Genomic DNA, 18,446 nt, shown 5'->3' on the forward strand with positions numbered 1-18,446 from the left:
GAATGCAGATGGAGGAAACTTCAGTTTTTCCATTTCCTTTTCCATTTGACTTTTCCCCCTTACTTCTCCAAGTAAGCTAGAAGTTTTGTCACAACTTCCTACCATATGTCTTGGAGTATGGTATGTAGTATGACCAAGAATAGTTTCTTTCCCCAAATTGTATGAAACAGTGACTTCCTGGCAGTGCAGAACGGTGACCCTGAGGTAGGGAAACATGAGGGGAGCTCAGTGTCTGGAGAAGTTTCAGGTTACGGGGCAGGGAGGGCAAACCCAGGCAGAGCCTTGTGCTCCCTGGAGTTAAAGAGATGGAGCTGGGCTTGCAGGAGGCCAAGGAGGTGAGAGGAGCAAGCTGCCAGAGAGAGGGTGTCAGAGAGCTTCAGAGGAGCCCTTTTGAGTCTTCTGCTCAGTAATGATCAGCACATGTGTGTGAGGAAACCGCCCAGGGCTGGGCAAGGTACCACATGAAAGAAGCAGGGAATAATCCTCCGAGTTCATAGAAGGCCAGGAATAGTTTATGTTCCCACCAGCCAGAGTGGAGGATTTGGTAGTCACAGGGCGTCAAATAGAGTCTTCAGAAGGGTGTTGCCTCAGCACTAGGGCATAATTTGGTTTCACTTAACAAAGCTTAAAAGCTACTCCTGAACAGTACCCTTAACTTACCGTTTTCAAATAAGTGCATCCCTAACAAAACTCAATAATTTAGCAATTCAAAAATATCCAGCATCCACTGAAAAATTAGCAGGCATGCAAAGAAACAAGCAAATGTAACCTATAACAAGCAAAAAAATCAGTCAGTAGCAACAGATCCAGAAGTGACACAGAAGATAGAATTAGTAGACAAGGACATTAAAACAGTGACTGTAATCCATCTGCTGAAGAAGGCAGAGGAACAACTGAACATGTCAGATAAAGACATGGGAGACATTCAAAAGACCCACATTAGAATGTAAGAGATGAAAAGTACAACATCCAAGATGAAAAGTACATTAGGTGGGATGAACTGCAGAATAGACACTATAGAAGAGAAGATTAGTTAAATGTTACATAAGGCAATAGAAACTATCTGAAAAAACAGAGAAAAGGCTAAAAAAAAAAAAAAATGAACAGAGCATCTGCAAGCTGTGGCACAATTTCAGGCGGCCTAAAATGCATGTAATTGGAGTCCCTGGAAAGGCAGACATGTGGGACAGAAACAATACTTGAAGAAAAAAATGGCCATTAATTTTTCCCAGTTTGATGAAAACTATAAACCCCCAGATGCAATGACTTTAATGACCCCAAGTACAAGAAATATCAGAAAAAAACTACACTACAGCACACTATAATCCAATTCCCTAAAACCAGTAATAAAATTGAAAATGACTTTTTAGCTAACCTTTCTTGAAAAAAGTTAGGTAAGTTTGGCTTATTTTTTTATTTTATTTTTTCAGACGGAGTCTCACTCTGTCGCCCAGGCTGTAGTGCAGTGACGCAATCTTAGTTTACTGCAATCTCCGCCCACTGTAACCTCTGCCTCCTGGGTTCAAGCGATTCTCCTGCCTCAGCCTCTCAAGTAGCTGGGATTACAGGTGCCCACTACCACTCCCGACTAGTTTTTGTATTTTTAGTAGAGACGGGGTTTCACTATGTTGGCCAGGATGGTCTTGAACTCCTGACGTCAGGTGATCCGTCCGCCTCAGCCTCCCAAAGTGCTGGGATTACAGGTGTGAGCCACCGCGCCTGGCCTAAAATTTTTATGTTAAATAAATATTAATTTCAAGAAAGGTAAGCCTGGCCGGGCGCGGTGGCTCACGCCTGTAATCCCAACACTATGGGAGGCCGAGGCAGGCAGATCACGAGGTCAGGAGATCAGACCATCCTGGCTAACAGGGCGAAACCCCGTCTCTACTAAAAATACAAAAAATTAGCCGGGCATGGTGGCAGGCGCCTGTAGTCCCAGCTACTTGAGAGGCTGAGGCAGGAGAATGGCAGGAACCCGGGAGGCGAAGCTTGCAGTGAGCCGAGATTGCACCACTGCACTCCAGCCTGGAGGAGAGAGCGAGACTCCGTCTCAAAAACAAAAACAAAAAAAAACAAAAAAAAAAACAAAAAAACTGTAAGACAAACATAATAAATTTCTGTTAAATAACCGACTTAAGCTCAAATGGGATTTAATTTTTGTTGTTGTTGTTTTTGAGACGGAGTCTCGCTCTGTCGCCCACGCTGGAGTGCAATGGCACGATCTCGGCTCACTGCAACCTCCGCCTCCTGGGTTCAAGCAATTCTCCCACCTCAGCCTCCCGAGTAGCTGGGATTACAGGCACCCGCCATCATGCCCCGCTAATTTTTGTAGAAATGGGGTTTCACCATGTTGGCCAGGCTGGTCTTGACCCTCTGACCTCAGGTGATCTGCCCGCCTCGGCCTCCCAAAGTGCTGGGATTACAAGCGTGAGCCACTGTGCCTGGCCAGGATTTAATTTTTTGAAAGCTAGGCTCAGTAGATTTTATTTAAATAAATATTTTACGTTTATTTTAATATCGTCAGCATGAAAATGTAACAGTGTTGAATATTAATGCTACTAAAATTGTAAACCAAAGCAATGTTAATAAAAGTACACTCTAAATGAAATTTTTTATTTTTATAATTTTTTTTTTTTCTTTAGAGACAGAGTCTCTATGTTGTTCAGGCTGGTCTCAAACTCTTGGGTTCAAGTGATTTTCCTGCCTCGGCCTCCCAAAGTGCTGAGATTACAGGTGTGAGCCACCACACCCAGCCTTCTAAATGCAATTTATACCAGGCTTTAAGAAACCACTTTGCCCCAAGCAAATGATCAGGTTTAAATATAGTTTTATATATAATAATAAGTGTTGATTTCTCAAAACTAAAAGGATGACATGTACCCCTCTAATATGAGACCTCTGCTTTGGGTTTTTTGTGTGTTTGTTCATTTTGTTGGTTTTCTTCTCTCTCTTTTTTTTTTTTTTGGCTGCACAAATAAATACTCACTCCTGGGTCAAACTTGAGATAAGTGCATATTGATTTTATTTTTAACTGACATGAGGCCATTTCTGCCCACGCTCTTGATGCTTAGTAAAACATGAACGAGCCTGTTAAAGCAACATGCAGGAGATGGAGAAGTTCGGCCACATGCCCATTGCTTTCCTGCGAGTGGCAGGAGAGTCTTCTGTCACTGGGACCAGAATGTGCCTAGAGGCAGGAAATCTCAACACGACTGTGAGATCAGACCACAATCCACAAAGCGCTGCTGTTTCTCTCAAAGGCAGGTTCTCAGGCTGAGCCGTAGATTTGGAGAAAGCACCCCTCACCCAGCTCCACATCTGTGTGTCTGCGTGCACACGTGTGTAAAACATGGTGTATGTGTTCTCAAACATTCACGAAATTAGAAATGTTGAGAGAGATGAAAATAAATATAAAAATACTGCTGTGATACATTTTTCTTGCCGCACCCACAACTGGACTGTGTACATGGGCCCTCTTTAGGAGACTACTGTTTTAAAGAGTAAATGACAAAATTAAAGTCCTTTTTTTTTTATTCCATGCATATTTTGATAGGCAGGACAGGAAGCTTGAGGCCATGTGGATTTTGTAGTTTTATACAAGAGCATTCTTATTTTTAGTAGAACACCAATGAACATAAAGAGAGAAAACCTTGTTCATATACAATGTGTGGTTCCAAATGTTCTTATTGAAGACTTGAGACCTAGATTGGCATTAGGAATTTTTAATGTAATCATAACTTAAAATTAGTCACCTTGATGGCTGTCTTTGTCAGTGCTCCTCCTGGAGCACACTGACTTCTGTTGCTGTCTTTCTTCCCTTTGCTGCGCCTGGGTTCAGCCTGCTGCCACGAATACGGAGTCAAATTTTGCCTGCACACAGGCCCTCAGAAATCAGCTGGGCCGTTAGAGCCTGGTGCTTTCTGGATTGTTTTTCCCCCAGCTTGAATATGATTGAACATGAATGCCTTGTCAGAGCCGTCATCAGCTGAGGCATTCATAGTACGTAGGGATTTTTTTGGTGTCTTTAAAGAAGTGGTGTTCAGCCCTGGCTGTACACTAGAATCAGCTGGGGAGACTCTGGCAGTATAACCACCAGGCCCAACCCCCAGAAATTTCTGTTATGTTTGGTCTGGGTGGGATCAATGATTCTTAAAGAAAGAAAGAAAGAAAGAAAGAACGTTGCTCTGGCCCAGGTGATGCTGATTTGCAGTCAGGATTGGAAGTCACAGCTTTAAAGCATGGTCTTCCCCGTATTTGCTGAGGGCCTCTGAAACAGTGGCCCTGGGTTCTGCTTCCTATCAAGGGGCTGCATGTGTGTCCTGGGGCAAGTGGTGGTAAGCTTTGATTCCTAAGCCCTGATTTCTGATTTCTCTTTCTTTCCCCCATTAGAAGGATGAGATTATAAACACAGCTCCCTTCCTAAACATTAGGATCTCTCTTTTAGAGCAGTCAGCCTTTGAATATATACCAAGAACGGGGAAAGAATTCCAGTCATTCACAAAAAGGTTTCAAATGCTAAAAATGTTTCAAATGCTGCTTGGCAGTGATGTCACTGTCCTTCTCTTTCCAGTGAGTGTTGCAGAGAGCTGCTGGACACAGTGGATAACTACGCCGTCCTCCAGCTGGATATAGTGTGGTGTTACTTCCGCCTGGAACAGCTGGAATGCCTTGATGATGCAGAAAAAAAATTAAACTTGGCCCAGAAATGCTTTAAAAATTGTTACGGAGAAAATCATCAGAGACTGGTCCACATAAAAGTATGTTCCTGGAATTCATCTTATGTCTCGTTGAGTCCATTTCTAGCATTTGTGTTTATTCCTGTTAAAGTATTTGAACTACTGCCAGAAGGTAATTTCATTTTGATAGTAGTATGCAGTATAGTCTTTTTAAACTATATATTTATAAAGTGTTCAATGTTTTACAAATCTGGCTGTCTCTCTTACTTAGCGTGTGAGCATTTAGCCCAAAGGAACATGGTTTGCTAGTCATAGAACCCCATCAGTGATCACCCTGACCAGGAGAGAGCTGCTGACTTCTTTATATCGGTAGAGTCTAATTTGCAAGATGTAAATGCAGAAAATAGACATTTCAGCAGTAATGGTTTACGTGAATGAGTCACAGCTCAAGAGCTGTGGCTCGAGTAAGGATTTTTCTGATTTCCCCAAGTCATCAAAATCCTGCTGATGCAGACTCTCTGATACCTGGTTTGGATTTCTGCATACTTCTCTGCTGACCAGAAGGGCCACTGTGCTGCATGTCTGGAGGCTGGTGCCCTGACACTGACTCTCCTGTGTGGCATGAGGAATGTTATCATACCACAGGGGATGGGGAAGAGGGGGCTTCACTTTTGCCGTCAGTCATAGTGAAGCCATGGACATTTTAATACCTATCATGTTGCCCCTCTGGAGACCAAGGGAATGACAGAGATGAGTATTATAGACCTGTAATTAGAAATAAGGCAATTTTATCCTTTTTTTCTTCAATAATTTTAGGGAAATTGTGGGAAAGAGAAGGTACTGTTTCTAAGACTCTACTTACTTCAAGGGATCCGAAACTATCACAGTGGAAATGATGTAGAGGCTTATGAGTATCTTAACAAGGTAAGAAAAGTAAAGTTGTAACCAATTTTCACCTCCTTTTAAAAAACATTCCCAGAAGTTAAGGATTTTAACTTAGTAGTTTGTGACTTGTGAGAAACATGCCTGTGCTTTCTCCGTGCACAGGAGATGTTGAACCAGAAACATATTTGTATATGTTAGAGTACAGCCAGATGCTGTAATGAGACTTCAAAAAGACAGTGACTTTAATTGGATAGAAGTTTATGGCTCACTCATCTTGCCGTCTAGAGGTGAGCCAGGCCGGAGCAGTGAGCAGCCCGCCAGCCTCAGCGAGGCGTCCTAGGTTGCTCCTGTCAGTGCCTCTTCCAGCCAGCAGAGGGGGCAAGAGAGAGTCCAGAGCAGGCCACTGGAGAGATGACCCCGCAGCTGCACCCAGCGCTGTGGCTGCATGCCATTGACTTCGACTTCACTACCTGGCTACACCCAGCTGCAAGGGAGGGTGAGAAATGCCACGTGCACAGCTGAAATTCGGGGGCTTTTGTTGCAAAAACAAAGTGGTTACCAGTCACTTCTGCAACACCCAGCCTCTTACCTCGTGTTGTGCTGTGGCTAAGTTATGTGAGTAGAGGTAGTGTTGGTCTGTTTCCATTTGTACTTGTTAATAACAGGCCTAGTTTAGAGATTTTATCCAAAATCTGATGCCTTTTAATTCACATTGGATACAATCTAATTTCTTTTAGGCTTTCACTTTGTATTAAGCTTTAAGTATTGCCGTGGTTACATGATTCTTACATTTCCCTGTCTCTAGGCACGTCAGCTCTTTAAAGAGCTATATATTGATCCATCAAAAGTGGACAATTTGTTGCAGTTGGGGTTTACTGCCCAGGAAGCCCGGCTTGGCCTGAGGGCGTGTGATGGGAACGTGGATCATGCGGCCACTCATATTACCAACCGCAGAGAGGTACCCACTTTCACATGCCCTAGCTCTCTTGGGTATGAAAGAACAAAAAAAGATAATCCCACAGGAGTGTTAATAACCAGGAACTCTTTATTACTCCAGATTGGGAAGGAAGGAGAAACTTGTCCTTTTTTTTTTCTTGAGACAGAGTCTCACTTTGTCATCCAGGCTGGAGTGCAGTGGCACGATCTTGGCTCACTGCAAGCTCCGCCTCCCGGGTTCAAGCAATTCTCGTGCCTCAGCCTCCTGAGTAGCTGGGATTACAGGTGTGTGCCACCACACCTGGCTAATTTTTGTATTTTTAGTAAAGATGGGGTTTCACCATGTTGGCCAGGCTGTTCTCAAACTCCTGACCTCAAGTGATGCGCCCACCTCAGTTTCCCAAAGTCCTGGGATTACAGGTGTGAGCCACCGCGCCTGGCCGAAACTTGTCTTTTTCAATTGGATCATTTTTCACATGCTGCAGTCTCCTTAGTTTTGTTTCCTGCTGTGGTGGCAAACGGTCCCCTCTCTCTCTTTCTTTAACACCATAGTGTATTTCTGGAAGTCATTTTAAAAACAAAATTGTTTTTTCATGAGGTCATTATTAAAGTTGGGGATTGCATCCTTGCCTAGAAACATAAGTCAAATCATAGAAACAAGTTGTATTATATTATGAAAGCACAGGTTAAAAAACTATAATCATTTGAAACAATTAAGTACATTAAAGAAAACCTTAGAATTTTGGAGTTGGAAGCATCCTTATTCTATCCAATATGTTCTGCAGTGAAAGAACTGAGGTCTAGAGGGCGGTCATGGTGGAATATTAGCAGGAGAGCCATTTTTCTTCTTGCCAAAACAAGAAGTTGGTACTAGATTATCTCACAGGTCCTTTCTAGCTGTAAACTCCAGCCATAGAAGTCTCTAGAATCTTCACATGTATGTTACCTCGTTTCCCTTTTTGCTAAACACTAGGATAATCCTGAAGGAAAAAAGCAGCCTCAGGGGTATTTGGATGGGAGCAGGAAAGCCCCGTGGTTGTTTGCCTACCTGATGCCAGAGAGGGAGTGGATTCGTGGGTTCATTCCGTGGTGAGCAGTCACAGGGTTTCTCCTTTTACAACACCAGCTGTGGTCATTACCTTTCTCTCTTGCCTAGTCCAATCGTGGTCCTTTGGGTCTTGCTATAGAAGTCAATGAGTAGGTAAAGGCAGAGACTTTGAAAAGCTGAGTTCTTTTTTTTTTTTTTATTCCAGAGTCTCACTCTGTCACCCAGGCTGGAGTGCAGTGGCGTGATCACTGCAACCTCTGCCTCCCAGGTTCAAGTGATTCTTCTGCCTTAGCCTTCTAAGTAGCTGGAATTACAGGTGCCCACCACCACGCCCAGCTTTACTTTTTGTATTTTTAGTAGAGATGGGGTTTTACCAATTTGGCCAGGCTGGTCTCGAACTCCTGACCTCAAGTGATCCTCCCGCCTTGGCCTCCCAAAGTGCTGGGATCACAGGTGTGAGCCACTGCGACCAGCTGAAAAGTTGAGTTCTGTGTGTTTGAGTTTTACATGGTCTAATTCAGTACTAACAGAAAAATGAACATTGCTGATACTGATTTATTGCTTTACTATTACTCCACTACCAGTAAGAATTTATTATTTTTATTTTTATTTATTTTTTCCTTTAATTTTATTTTATTATTATTATACTTTTAAGTTTTAGGGTACATGTGCACAATGTGCAGGTTAGTTACATATGTATACATGTGCCATGCTGGTGCGCTGCACCCATTAACTCGTCATTTAGCATTAGGTATATCTCCTAAAGCTATCCCTCCCCCCTCCCCCCACCCCACAACAGTCCCCAGAGTGTGATGTCCCCCTTCCTGTGTCCACGTGTTCTCATTGTTCAATTCCCACCTGTGAGTGAGAATATGCGGTGTTTGGTTTTTTGTTCTTGCGATAGTTTACTGAGAATGAAGTAAGATTTTATTAGCATCTGGAAAGCTAGTGTTTTAAAATGAGATCATTTGGAAAACAGTTCTCATCACTGTATAAGACTATAGTTCATAAAACATTGTCACACTCATGTCATTCACTTCTGCCTGTGACCAGCCGAGAGGCCACAGGACAGGTACTTCTCATCTTACACATGGGAAGAGCTGTTGCTCAGAGGTGGTCTTTTAAAGTATAGTGGAGTCATATCACTTGTACATTTCTGAAGTTAAAAGCCCTTGGAGAAAATGCAAATAAAAAAACCAGTGTATATAGTGCAGTTGATCCTTCTCCCTCTTCCACCCAACAGATGTTGTTAGTTACGATGCCTTTGGCTGAAAGCAACAACAACAACAAAAAACCCAAAATGGCCTAAACATCAAAACAAGGGATGTGGTGGGATTTATTGGCCGTTTACTTGTAAAAAGTCCAGAAGTAGGATAGGTCTCAGGGTTAGGTGATTCATTCAGTGGCTTACTGATGTCACTGAGGACCTGAGGTCTGTCTTTTACCCCCACCCCCCACCCCATGTCATCAGTGTCATCCAGTCACAACAAGGGCCATAATCTGTGTCCCAGAATCCTCAGGGAAAATCCTGAGCTTCTTGTGATTGGGCAGCCTTGAACCTGTCACTGAGGCTGGAGGAACGCCAAGACTGGCTCAGGCCTGTGGCAAGAGATAGAGGGTTGCCACCTTAGCCCATTCAGGGGCCACCTGGGGAGCTGGAGCAGCCTCCCACACCTCAGGGAGGGGTAGAATGGGTGCTGGAAAGACAAAAACAATGTCCCACAGAAAGTGAGCTCCTATCGGAGCTTTAGATGAGCAAGAGAAATCTGCTGCCCTCGGAGTTCCAACGTTCTAGGTATGAGCATCTGACTGAGCTGAATGTAAAACAATTCGTTCATGTTTTTGTTTGAGACAGAGCCTTGCTCTCTTGTCCAGGCTGGAGGGCAGTGGCGTGATTATGGCTCACTGCAACCTTGATCTCCCGGGCTCCAATGATCCTCCTGCCAAGAGCTCTCGGCTGATTTTTATTTTTTTGTAGAAATGGGGTCTCACCATGTTGCCCAGGCCAGTCTCAAAACTCCTGGGTTCAAGCAGTCCTCCCACCTTGGCCTCCCAAGGTGCTGGGATTACAGGTGTGAGCCACTGCACCCAGCCTTTAATACATAATTATTAAAAGTTTATATTTTTTGTGCAATATGGCCCTGAGTACAGACCAGTTTCTCATCTGAGAAAAGCAACAGCTGTAGAAACGGAGCTCACAGATCATGCTTCGGCATGGCCAGGCCGTGAGACGTAGCCTTCCTAAGAGGCCATCCCAGCTTGTTGTGACCATACAGTGCCTCTCTCTTGAGATCTGATTCTACTTAACTGTAGCCACTTCAGTGCAGTACTCACTGTCATTGATTTGATCTACTTTATCTTTCTAACTCATCTTAGTATAAAGAGAAATTTCAGAAAATAATGTTCTCACATGTGTTTACATGATTAAAAGGAAACAGACTAAGACATTTGTAATGAAAGGAAGTATTCTTCGAAGCTCCCAGTTGGTGTGAGGTCTGTGTTAGGTAATGCCCAGGTCCGCTGGCTGGCAGCGTCCTTCTCTGTGCTTGGATGTTAGGTGCGCTTCTTAGCCTTTTGGAATATAAATGGAAGAAACTGTATTGAAAGCAGAGGATGGGGCCAGTAAAGGCATTTTACATGGAGTATGTGTAAATAAAAGTGCAAATGTGAGTGGTATGAAAGACTCCTGCTGGCATGTGTGGTTGGGGTGGTGTGGCAGGATAAGGTCAGTTTCGAAGCATTGTTGGGGCCAGGGAGTGGGGGCCCTGAGTAGCAGAATAAGGAGCTGGTGCCTCAGTGTGGGGAGGTGGTCAGGAGCTGCTGCGGGCTTTCAGGTAGGTGACTGGAATGACGGAGCCTGCTGCCCTGTGCAGCGGGGCTGGAGCTGGGGGAGACTGGCCACTGAGAGGTAGAGCACGTAATGGGGGCATGAGACAGGCCTGGTGCAGCTGAAGGGGAAGCAAAGGGAGCTGGCGCTGTGGGCACTCCAGGGCCACACCAGGAGGTTCTCCTGTGATAGAGACAGGCCATGAGTCTACAGATGTCTTCATCCCTGGAGATGTTTCCAGCAGCCACTCTGTTCTGCCTGCTCCTACTGTGGGGCCTGTGGAGTCTGGTTCCACAATGATGATGCTTTTGTTTTCCTAAGAGATGAGGCCGCTTTCCTGCTGTGGGGAAAATGCAGGGAGGCGCCTGTTGCCTGGGCTGGGCAGGAGGCAGGATCAGGTCTCTGGAAGGAAGGAGTCTGTTTTCTCCCCCGTCCTCGCTGCTGCTGATGGTGGGGCTGGTCTCCCTGGGAGAATGTAGCAAGTCACTTAACTTTGTTGAAAGCTTTCTGTCTCCTTGTTGGGAAAATAATGAGGTTGGATTAAATTCCTGGTTTTCAAACTTGCTTTGTTGTTGTTGTTTTTAAGCAGCAAAATCCCCTTTTTAAATGACATTTTTATGGGGATACTAGTTTACAAAATAAATTGGGAACTCTCCTGATTGGCCCTGGGTGGGAGAGGTGAAGAGACTAGAACCCTCTGCAGCCGTCCTGCGCTCCTGCAGCAATAGCAGGCAACTCTGAGAAACAGGGTTGAGAACCAAGAGGTTAGATGACCTTTGTCTCTGGGCACTCTGTGGGTTCCGAATGGAATGACAGGCCTCAGAAGGCCCTGGAGTCCTTGCTCCCCAGGCTGTGGGGGGCGGGTCACCAGCTTTGGCATTGCCCAGGAGCCCCTGATTCCACATCACATTTTAACTTGAATCCCTGGGCGATTCATCGAAGGCTGGAAGGCCTTCCCACCGCGTGCAGAAGCTCTCCTACCCGGTTCCTACCTGGTTCCTAGAAGAGAATCCATGCACCTCACACCCGCGACCTCTGCAGTGGGAGTGCTGGGTTGGCGAGCAGCCCATCCTGATGCCGGATGGTGGATGGCGGGGCTGGCGAGGCACCTCCTTCCTGCCCCACGGGCATCTCACTTCCACTGCCTGCCTCAGAAGCAGCACTTCCACCACCCCTCTGCCTCTGTGGCACCTCTGCCATTTGGCTGGGTGAGGAGAGGTAGAAAGAGGGCCCCCTGTGCTTTGCTTTGGTTTTTTGGCTTTGCCTGGAAATGCGGAGAATCCTGCAGAGCGCAGACTGAGAGGCTGTGAAATCTCAGTCCCTAACTTGGGATGGGACTTTGCTGTTTTCCTAAAGGAACTGGCCCAAATAAGGAAGGAGGAAAAAGAGAAGAAAAGACGCCGCCTCGAGAACATCAGGTTTCTGAAAGGGATGGGCTACTCCACGCACGCGGCCCAGCAGGTACTCCACGCAGCCAGCGGGAACTTGGATGAGGCCCTGAAGGTAGCAGCTCCCTCGGGGCCTCTGGCCTTGTCCCTGAGCAGTGGGTCCTGCCCAGAGCTCCCTCCATGGCTCTCCAGCATCCTCCCGGGCTCACTCCTATGGGCTGCCCCGTCATCCGGATCTGAAGGGCAGGTTTCTCCTGGGCTCCAGCCCAGACACAGGCTGCGTGAGGCCACGTGAGGCCCCATGCTCAGTGCTTGGCCCAGGCCTGGCTCCAAAACGTGGTGCCTGTCCACACCAGCACAGTCCACAGGCCAGGACTTTGTGTAGGGTTTCTGTGTGCAGCAGAGTTTAGTGAAACAGGCAGTTTCCACGGCAGAAAAAAGAGAATGGGAATTCAACTTGTAGTATAATTGTTTGGCATTAAAATTTTAAATGTAAGTATCTAGTTTTATTTATTTAGTCCATCGTACATGTTGGCAAAGGGAGAGCTTTTCAAAGAACCCCTCAGGAGTGACAGCAGGTTGGGATCCAGACAGCAGTGACTTTACCTGGGCCACTTCCTTCCCTGTGTTGGAGAAGCATATCGAATCCTCAGTAGGGCAGGTGCTGCGCTGCGTCTCAGCAGCTTGGCATGGAACCACCCTCTGCCCTCTCGGCCCCGCAGGTCAGTGAGAGACAAACTCAGAGCACACGTGGTGAGGGGTCCCGAGGGGGTGCACAGGAGGCAGGGGGCTGGCTGTGTGGAGGCAGCAGTCCAGACAGATGCTGGGGCAGCGCGGCGGGCAGGAAGCAGAGTGGTAGGAGCTGGCTTAGGTTGTGCACGTGCTGGGGGCGGGGCTGGGGGGACAGAGATGGGGTTGGAGGGGGTGGGGTGCAGGGCAGGTGTCCTCGTTTGCCCTGCTGAGGCGGGTGTGGGTGCAGCAGGCACGGGGAGTCCACCCTGCCTTTGCCTCTTATCCCTGCCCTGTTCCCCGGAAGGCTCCACAAGTCAGTACTTTTGTAACTATGTACATGTATATTTAACATATACGTTAAATTTTAAATTTTTATTTGAATATCATCTAGTTCGTTTTTTTGTGTGTTGGAGAAATATTAAGAGGTGGGAAATTCTGAATATTCGAAGGGACTGATGGGTCTCAAAATAGATGTGAATTATACGAGTGGCACAAAAATACTTCCAGTCAAAATGGAAGTACTGAGTGTTGGAAAGGAAAGTCTCCACAGGGTCTTTGAAGATTAAGTATTGTGTGATGAAGAAATCAAGGGTCAAAATAACCCTACTACCTGCCTGACATTTTAAGTCTAGAGGGCATGACGCTTTCAAAGATCAATCAGGCAGCCCTGAGCTGCTTGAGACCTTTCTGTCTGTAGCTCTGACAAAACCTGTTTTCTTGGATGCTGCTTCCACCTGCTCTCCATCCCTTCCTGCTCTAACAGAAGGGATCTTTTCCCTGACTAGTCTTGCTCCTCCTTCAAACCCCAGCTGTCCTGGTCTCTGGCTGGAAGCCTTCTGTGAACACCAGCCTGAGTGGGAGCCCCTTTCTCTGCCTCATAGCAGCAGAGGACGGCGGGGTCTGCCTAGCACATGGCAGGGTGCAGCGCCTGTCTGAATGTGTGAAGAGTTCTTAGTGATGGGTAAAGGGTGTTCCTGTGTGTTTTAGATTCTGCTCAGCAATCCTCAGATGTGGTGGTTAAATGATTCCAATCCTGAAACCGACAACCGTCAAGAAAGTCCTTCCCAGGAAAACATTGACCGAGTGAGTGACAGGCCTTTGTGCCCTCAGCTTGGACAGCCTCGGGTGGGGTTGCTTGGGGTAACCCGGGTGAATCAGGCAGCAGGACTGGGGGAGTCCGTGCTGAAACCTTGGCTCCCAGGCTCCAGGTGTAACCTGCCCACCTCAGAGGCCACCCACGCAGTAACAGAGGGCAGGGGAGGCCTCCTTGGAAAGCAGGAAAACTGGGGAAGTGTCAGGAAGTTCTCTTTAGGTTTGCTGCCTTTGTCTATGCACCACTGTTTGCATCAGCCTCATTTCTCTGCCTGTGACCTAAAAGGATGGCACTGTGACCTGGGAAACCCATCCAGCTTTGTATCCCAAGTGACGGCTCTGTCCACATTTGTGCCCCTACACGCGTTAGCACGCCTGTATGCTGTGGCCACTGACCTCGCGGTGCTCGTGGTGAGGCTGGTGTGGCGCCCTGCTCTCAGCCCGAGGTCACTGCCTGTCCTGAGATGGCTGCTCCCTGACGCACCCGACTTGAGTCTTCCAAGCCCCCTTCCAGGTTGCTCTACGCTCACATTGCACAGAAGCATGACTTGTGCACAAAGGGCCATGGTGCACACGCCGGGAGCTCTTAAACATGAGAGTCGGCTGTCCACTCGTATGGCTGACGGGGGTGGCAGAAGAGGCGCCAGGGGCTGATGCTGTGACCCCTGCGCTCTCCCCTAGTTGGTGTACATGGGTTTTGATGCACTCGTGGCCGAAGCTGCGCTGAGAGTGTTCAGAGGCAACGTCCAGCTGGCCGCCCAGACCCTTGCTCACAACGGAGGAAGCCTGCCTCCCGAGCTGCCGCTGTCGCCAGAAGACTCTTTGTCCCCGCCAGCCACGTCCCCTTCTGACTCCGCAGGTAGGTCTGAGGTCTTTGAGGGCCGCATTGAGAGCAAAGTGTCTTCAGAAGCCAACAGATGTGGCCCTAAGCCACGGCAGATGTGGAGACTGAGGGGGCGTCCCCTGACGTCACCGGGCCGGCCACCTGGACAGTGTGGCCAGCAAGAGGCACAGTCTGAGGTTGACTGTGGTCGTGCAGTGTCCCCAGGACAATCCTCACATAATTCACTTACTCCTGCGGTATTTTATTGTAGGAACCTCTAGTGCCTCAACAGACGAAGACATGGAGACAGAGGCCGTCAATGAGATACTGGAAGACATTCCAGAGCATGAGGAAGACTATCTTGACTCAACTCTGGAAGATGAAGAAATTATTATTGCAGAGTACCTATCCTATGTAGAAAATAGGAAGTCAGCAACAAAGAAAAACTAAATAATGAACAGAAATAGCGCTAATTTTCTGCTTATAAATGCTATCATTATGAAAAGGCTAATGCAGCTCTTTCTGTTCTTACTTTTTATCTGAATTACAAGTCCTCTTTGGGTGTAGGAGGGGGTGGGCAGGGGACAAGTCCAGGAGGGGTCCCAGGGCCTTCATGCGTGGTCTCGGGGAAGAAGCTTCCTCTGGCCTGGCGCAGGCCGTTCCATCTGCCTCCCAGGTCTGCGTCCCTAACCCCTTCCCCAGCTTGGTGTTTTACCCCGAAACAGGAAGGAACAGGGGTCCTGTAGAACAGGGGTCCTGGGGAAGGTGTCCAGGGCAGGGTCCTGGGAAGGGTGTCCCGACCGCTTCCTCTCCAGCTGTGGCTCCATCTGCCCAGCTTGCCTGCCTCCTGCACCCACTGCCCTGACCTTCCTGCTTCCCACGCTGCCATCTCTGCCAGGGTGCCACATGGGTTCCTGTGCCACCCTTTCCCCGCCCCTCAAATCGTCCTTTAAGTCTTCCTTCCAAGTGCTGTGGGGCATAACGATGAGGCGCTGGCCTTGGGGGCCACACCAGGTCGCAGCAAATGGCTTCAGCCTGGGACGCCAGTGTTTTATGCTCTTAGTTCAGTAAAATACGCCCCCGAAATTCAAGATTGAGTGTCAGGCTTTATATATATTCAGCATTCCTCATTACAGAAATCTTCTATTGAATGGGAAAGGTTTAAATGCTAACCAAAGCAATTTATTTTTAATTAATATTTTTAGACTCTGTGCTGTCATACTGAACTCACTGCTAGCTAAGAGACCTATCAGAGATTTAGATATATTTTCTCCAGGTTTTTTGTGGGTTTTCTTTGTTGTTGTTGTTGTTCTAGCCATGTGACAGAGGCTCTTTCTAAAAGTATGTAGTTCGCTGTGTGTCGGCTCCAGCAGTAACCGTCCTCACTGCGCCACGCACTCCTCTGTAGATGTGTGCCCAGTGGGAGTTCCTTCCAGCCCCAGGACCACAGCAGCAGCCAGGTGCCGAGTGGATTGAGTGCCAGGTGCATCCAAGACTTTCCCTCCCTTCCAGAAGGCACTGACTGAAGACAGGATGGATCATGCGGAGCCGGCTGAAATGCTCCAACTTTTTCAAAGTGTGGGTGGTCCAGTTTGGACTGATGGGAATCTTCTTGTCATTCTTTTTAAACGGATGATACCGATGGAAATAAAAGGTGGGAAATATATTCAAAAATTGTCACCCTAATTTTGCATTAATTTACTCAGCCTCCCCAGCTGTAGGTGTTGAAAGTGTCTGGGTGACTAGCTCTTCATTTTGATTGCAGGATGTCTGTTTCCACTGAGTTTTGTGAGGAGATGATGGAAGGATGATCTCAGAAGCAGAGGGCATCTGCTGTGAAAGATGCCGCACGCCAAGCGGGGCTGGGGTGCATCCTGGGCAGGGGACTGAAATGTACCTGTCAGGGTTTGCCTCAGAAGTGCCTGGTGAGCTGAGGTGACGCGGAGTCTCAGCCTCATTTGACACAATGCCACACTTGGATTTGGGGCCTGAATTTAAGCTTTTGGCTAACAAATCGCTGTCCTGCGCTTGGTTCAGGCGTGTCTTCTAGCTTCCCAGCTGTTTTTAGCCATCATAGAAGCAATGCCACACCAGCAGGCCCCAAAACTCTTCCGTGTCTTGTGAAGAGAGAGCCGCAGAGGAAGCCGGCTGTGGAGGCAGTTCTGGGCATGCGCTATGTCCAGAATGGGCTGCCCTCCAGGCATGGAGACTTGGGCCGGGCCTGCTCCACCGGACAGGCGGTAGAGGAGGGGGCAGGACGGTGCTGAGGTTGGAGGAGAGGCCGTTGCAGAGGAGGGGGCCTGGGAGGGTTCTCCTTGGGGAGTCAGAGGAAAAAGCACATTCCAGATGTGGGACAAACAAGATAGTATTTGGGGCAGGACAGTCTGAGTGTGACATGTTCATGGGCTGCCAGAAGGTGCGGGTTGTGGGGAGAGAAGAATGGGGGCGGATGGTATGATTGCTGATCACAGCGGGGAGGTTGGATGCCATTAGAGGAGCAGGAGTGGGCATGGGCGTGTAGCAGGCAGGTGAGGGCAGCCCATGCCAGCACAATGGTGTGCACAACTGGTCAGGTGTCCTTGATGCTGATCACGGCCTTACCCTGTCCTTGTGTTCCTGCCCATATGTCCTATGGGTAGCTCCTGTCCTTCCTCCCTTAGCCAACTCCTCCTCAGTCAATTTATCAAAAGCAGACACCTTGTTTCTTCATTCATAGCAAGGCGACAGTGGTGTGGCTGGAAGGGAACCAGGCCTGGGTTCAGGGGATCAGACTCTCTCACTCACCGTGTCTCTCAGGCTGTCAGAAACCAGAGCGAAAATGGACATCTGGCCATCTTTATGTCCTCAACATCTCGCAAAGCTCTCTGTGCAATGGAAGTAGAAATTACCCCAATGTGTGTTGCTATAAAAATGCAAAGTGAGTGCAGCGCCCGTGTTTTGGGTCCATGCCCCACTGGGTTTCTCTGGATGGCTTGATGCATGCTCCATTCTCTGCTGTGGGGAGATAAGGTGGGGACTGGAGCTGACGTGTCAGTGAGGGGCTGCTCAGGCCAGAGCGCAGCATCACCAAGCAGCAGTGTCTTCGGCAAGCAGGAGTCAGTGTGAACGTCTGTGCAGGCTCAGGGCCGGCCGGCAGCACTGCCCGCAGGCAGCACTCAAGGCGGTTCTCTGGCCTGCGCCACCGGAACCGTCCCTTCAGCACGATGGAAAGGTCCTCTCTGGTAGGTATGCCCCTTGTGGCAGCCACAGGCCCCAATGGCTCCGGGACGCAGCAAGACCTGGCCACCCCCGAGGTCTGTGTGTGCTTAAGTCTCACCCGGAGAACAGTGCATGGTGCCGTTTCTGCGGGTTCTCCTGCACCGATCTGCTTGCCTCCCAACAGGCCCATTTTCCTGGGGTGGGGGTCGGGGGCACTTTGGTTCCCAGGGTTTGGAGGTTTGGCCTAGAGGAGTTACAGCGCCTGCGTCCTTTCCTTCCTACTGCCCACAGTGCAATCCCTACCTGTTCATCCGCGCCCGAGGGCGGACCCGCCCATCACCTAGCAGGTGATCCCTGGCGGCCCCGGCCGTCTCTGATGAAGTATCTTCTGCATTAAGACTATGAAGCGCATGCTGCTCTACCTGAAAGGGCTGCTCCACTTGAAGGGGCTGCTCCACTTGAAGGGGCTGCTCCTGCAGCAGGTGCTTCTCTCTGCAGCGAGATGATGAGCTCTCCACGGCAGACACTGTCACCTGCAGCTTCTCTCCTGGCACCCGGGCCAACCGGGGCACATGGATGCAGAAAGTGGCACCATCAAGGGACTGAAGAGCACCCCGCTCAGGTGCTGTGAGGGGTGCTGAGGGGTCTCCTGCAGGGCCCCTCGGCAGACTGAGCCCCACTGGCCCCTCGAGCCCCTGGGCACAGGGCTCCCCTTGGGTGCCCGGTGGCTCTGGCATGTGTGTTGCGCCTTCCAGCACCAGGCGCTGCCCTGGCTCCTGTGCACGAGCCCGGGGTGGGGCTGCTGCCCGCCCCCACCCCTCCTTCCACTCCAGGCCCTGAA

General features: G+C 48.6%; 2 protein-coding genes across 19 annotated transcripts in view; one reads left to right on the plus strand and one right to left on the minus strand.

Moving 5' to 3' along the window:
• NUB1 (negative regulator of ubiquitin like proteins 1) overlaps positions 1 to 16,081 on the plus strand; it is a 36,638-nt gene extending 20,557 nt beyond the window's left edge. For 4 of the 11 annotated variants that reach the window (NM_001363529.2, NM_001243351.2, XM_017012304.2 and 1 more), the window contains 7 exons: positions 4,571 to 4,757; positions 5,493 to 5,600; positions 6,367 to 6,519; positions 11,729 to 11,875; positions 13,480 to 13,575; positions 14,266 to 14,443; positions 14,679 to 16,081. In NM_001363529.2, coding sequence (NP_001350458.1) covers positions 4,571 to 4,757; positions 5,493 to 5,600; positions 6,367 to 6,519; positions 11,729 to 11,875; positions 13,480 to 13,575; positions 14,266 to 14,443; positions 14,679 to 14,857 — 1,048 coding nt within the window. In that variant the 3' untranslated portion in view covers positions 14,858 to 16,081. The remainder of the gene's footprint in view (positions 1 to 4,570; positions 4,758 to 5,492; positions 5,601 to 6,366; positions 6,520 to 11,728; positions 11,876 to 13,479; positions 13,576 to 14,265; positions 14,444 to 14,678) is intronic. The other 7 variants (NM_001385353.1, NM_001385355.1, NM_016118.5 and 4 more) reach the window with 2 other exon arrangements.
• WDR86 (WD repeat domain 86) overlaps positions 6,587 to 18,446 on the minus strand; it is a 41,758-nt gene continuing 29,898 nt past the window's right edge. For 5 of the 8 annotated variants that reach the window (XM_047420327.1, XM_011516151.4, XM_011516147.4 and 2 more), the window contains one exon: positions 15,606 to 18,152. In XM_047420327.1, coding sequence (XP_047276283.1) covers positions 18,005 to 18,152 — 148 coding nt within the window. In that variant the 3' untranslated portion in view covers positions 15,606 to 18,004. Of the gene's footprint in view, positions 18,153 to 18,446 lie in introns of all 8 variants that reach the window. The other 3 variants (XM_005249990.6, XM_011516146.4, XM_047420328.1) reach the window with 2 other exon arrangements.

The sequence above is a fragment of the Homo sapiens genome, chromosome 7 (assembly GCF_000001405.40).
Source record: "Homo sapiens chromosome 7, GRCh38.p14 Primary Assembly".
In the NCBI taxonomy this organism is placed as follows: Eukaryota; Metazoa; Chordata; class Mammalia; order Primates; family Hominidae; genus Homo; species Homo sapiens.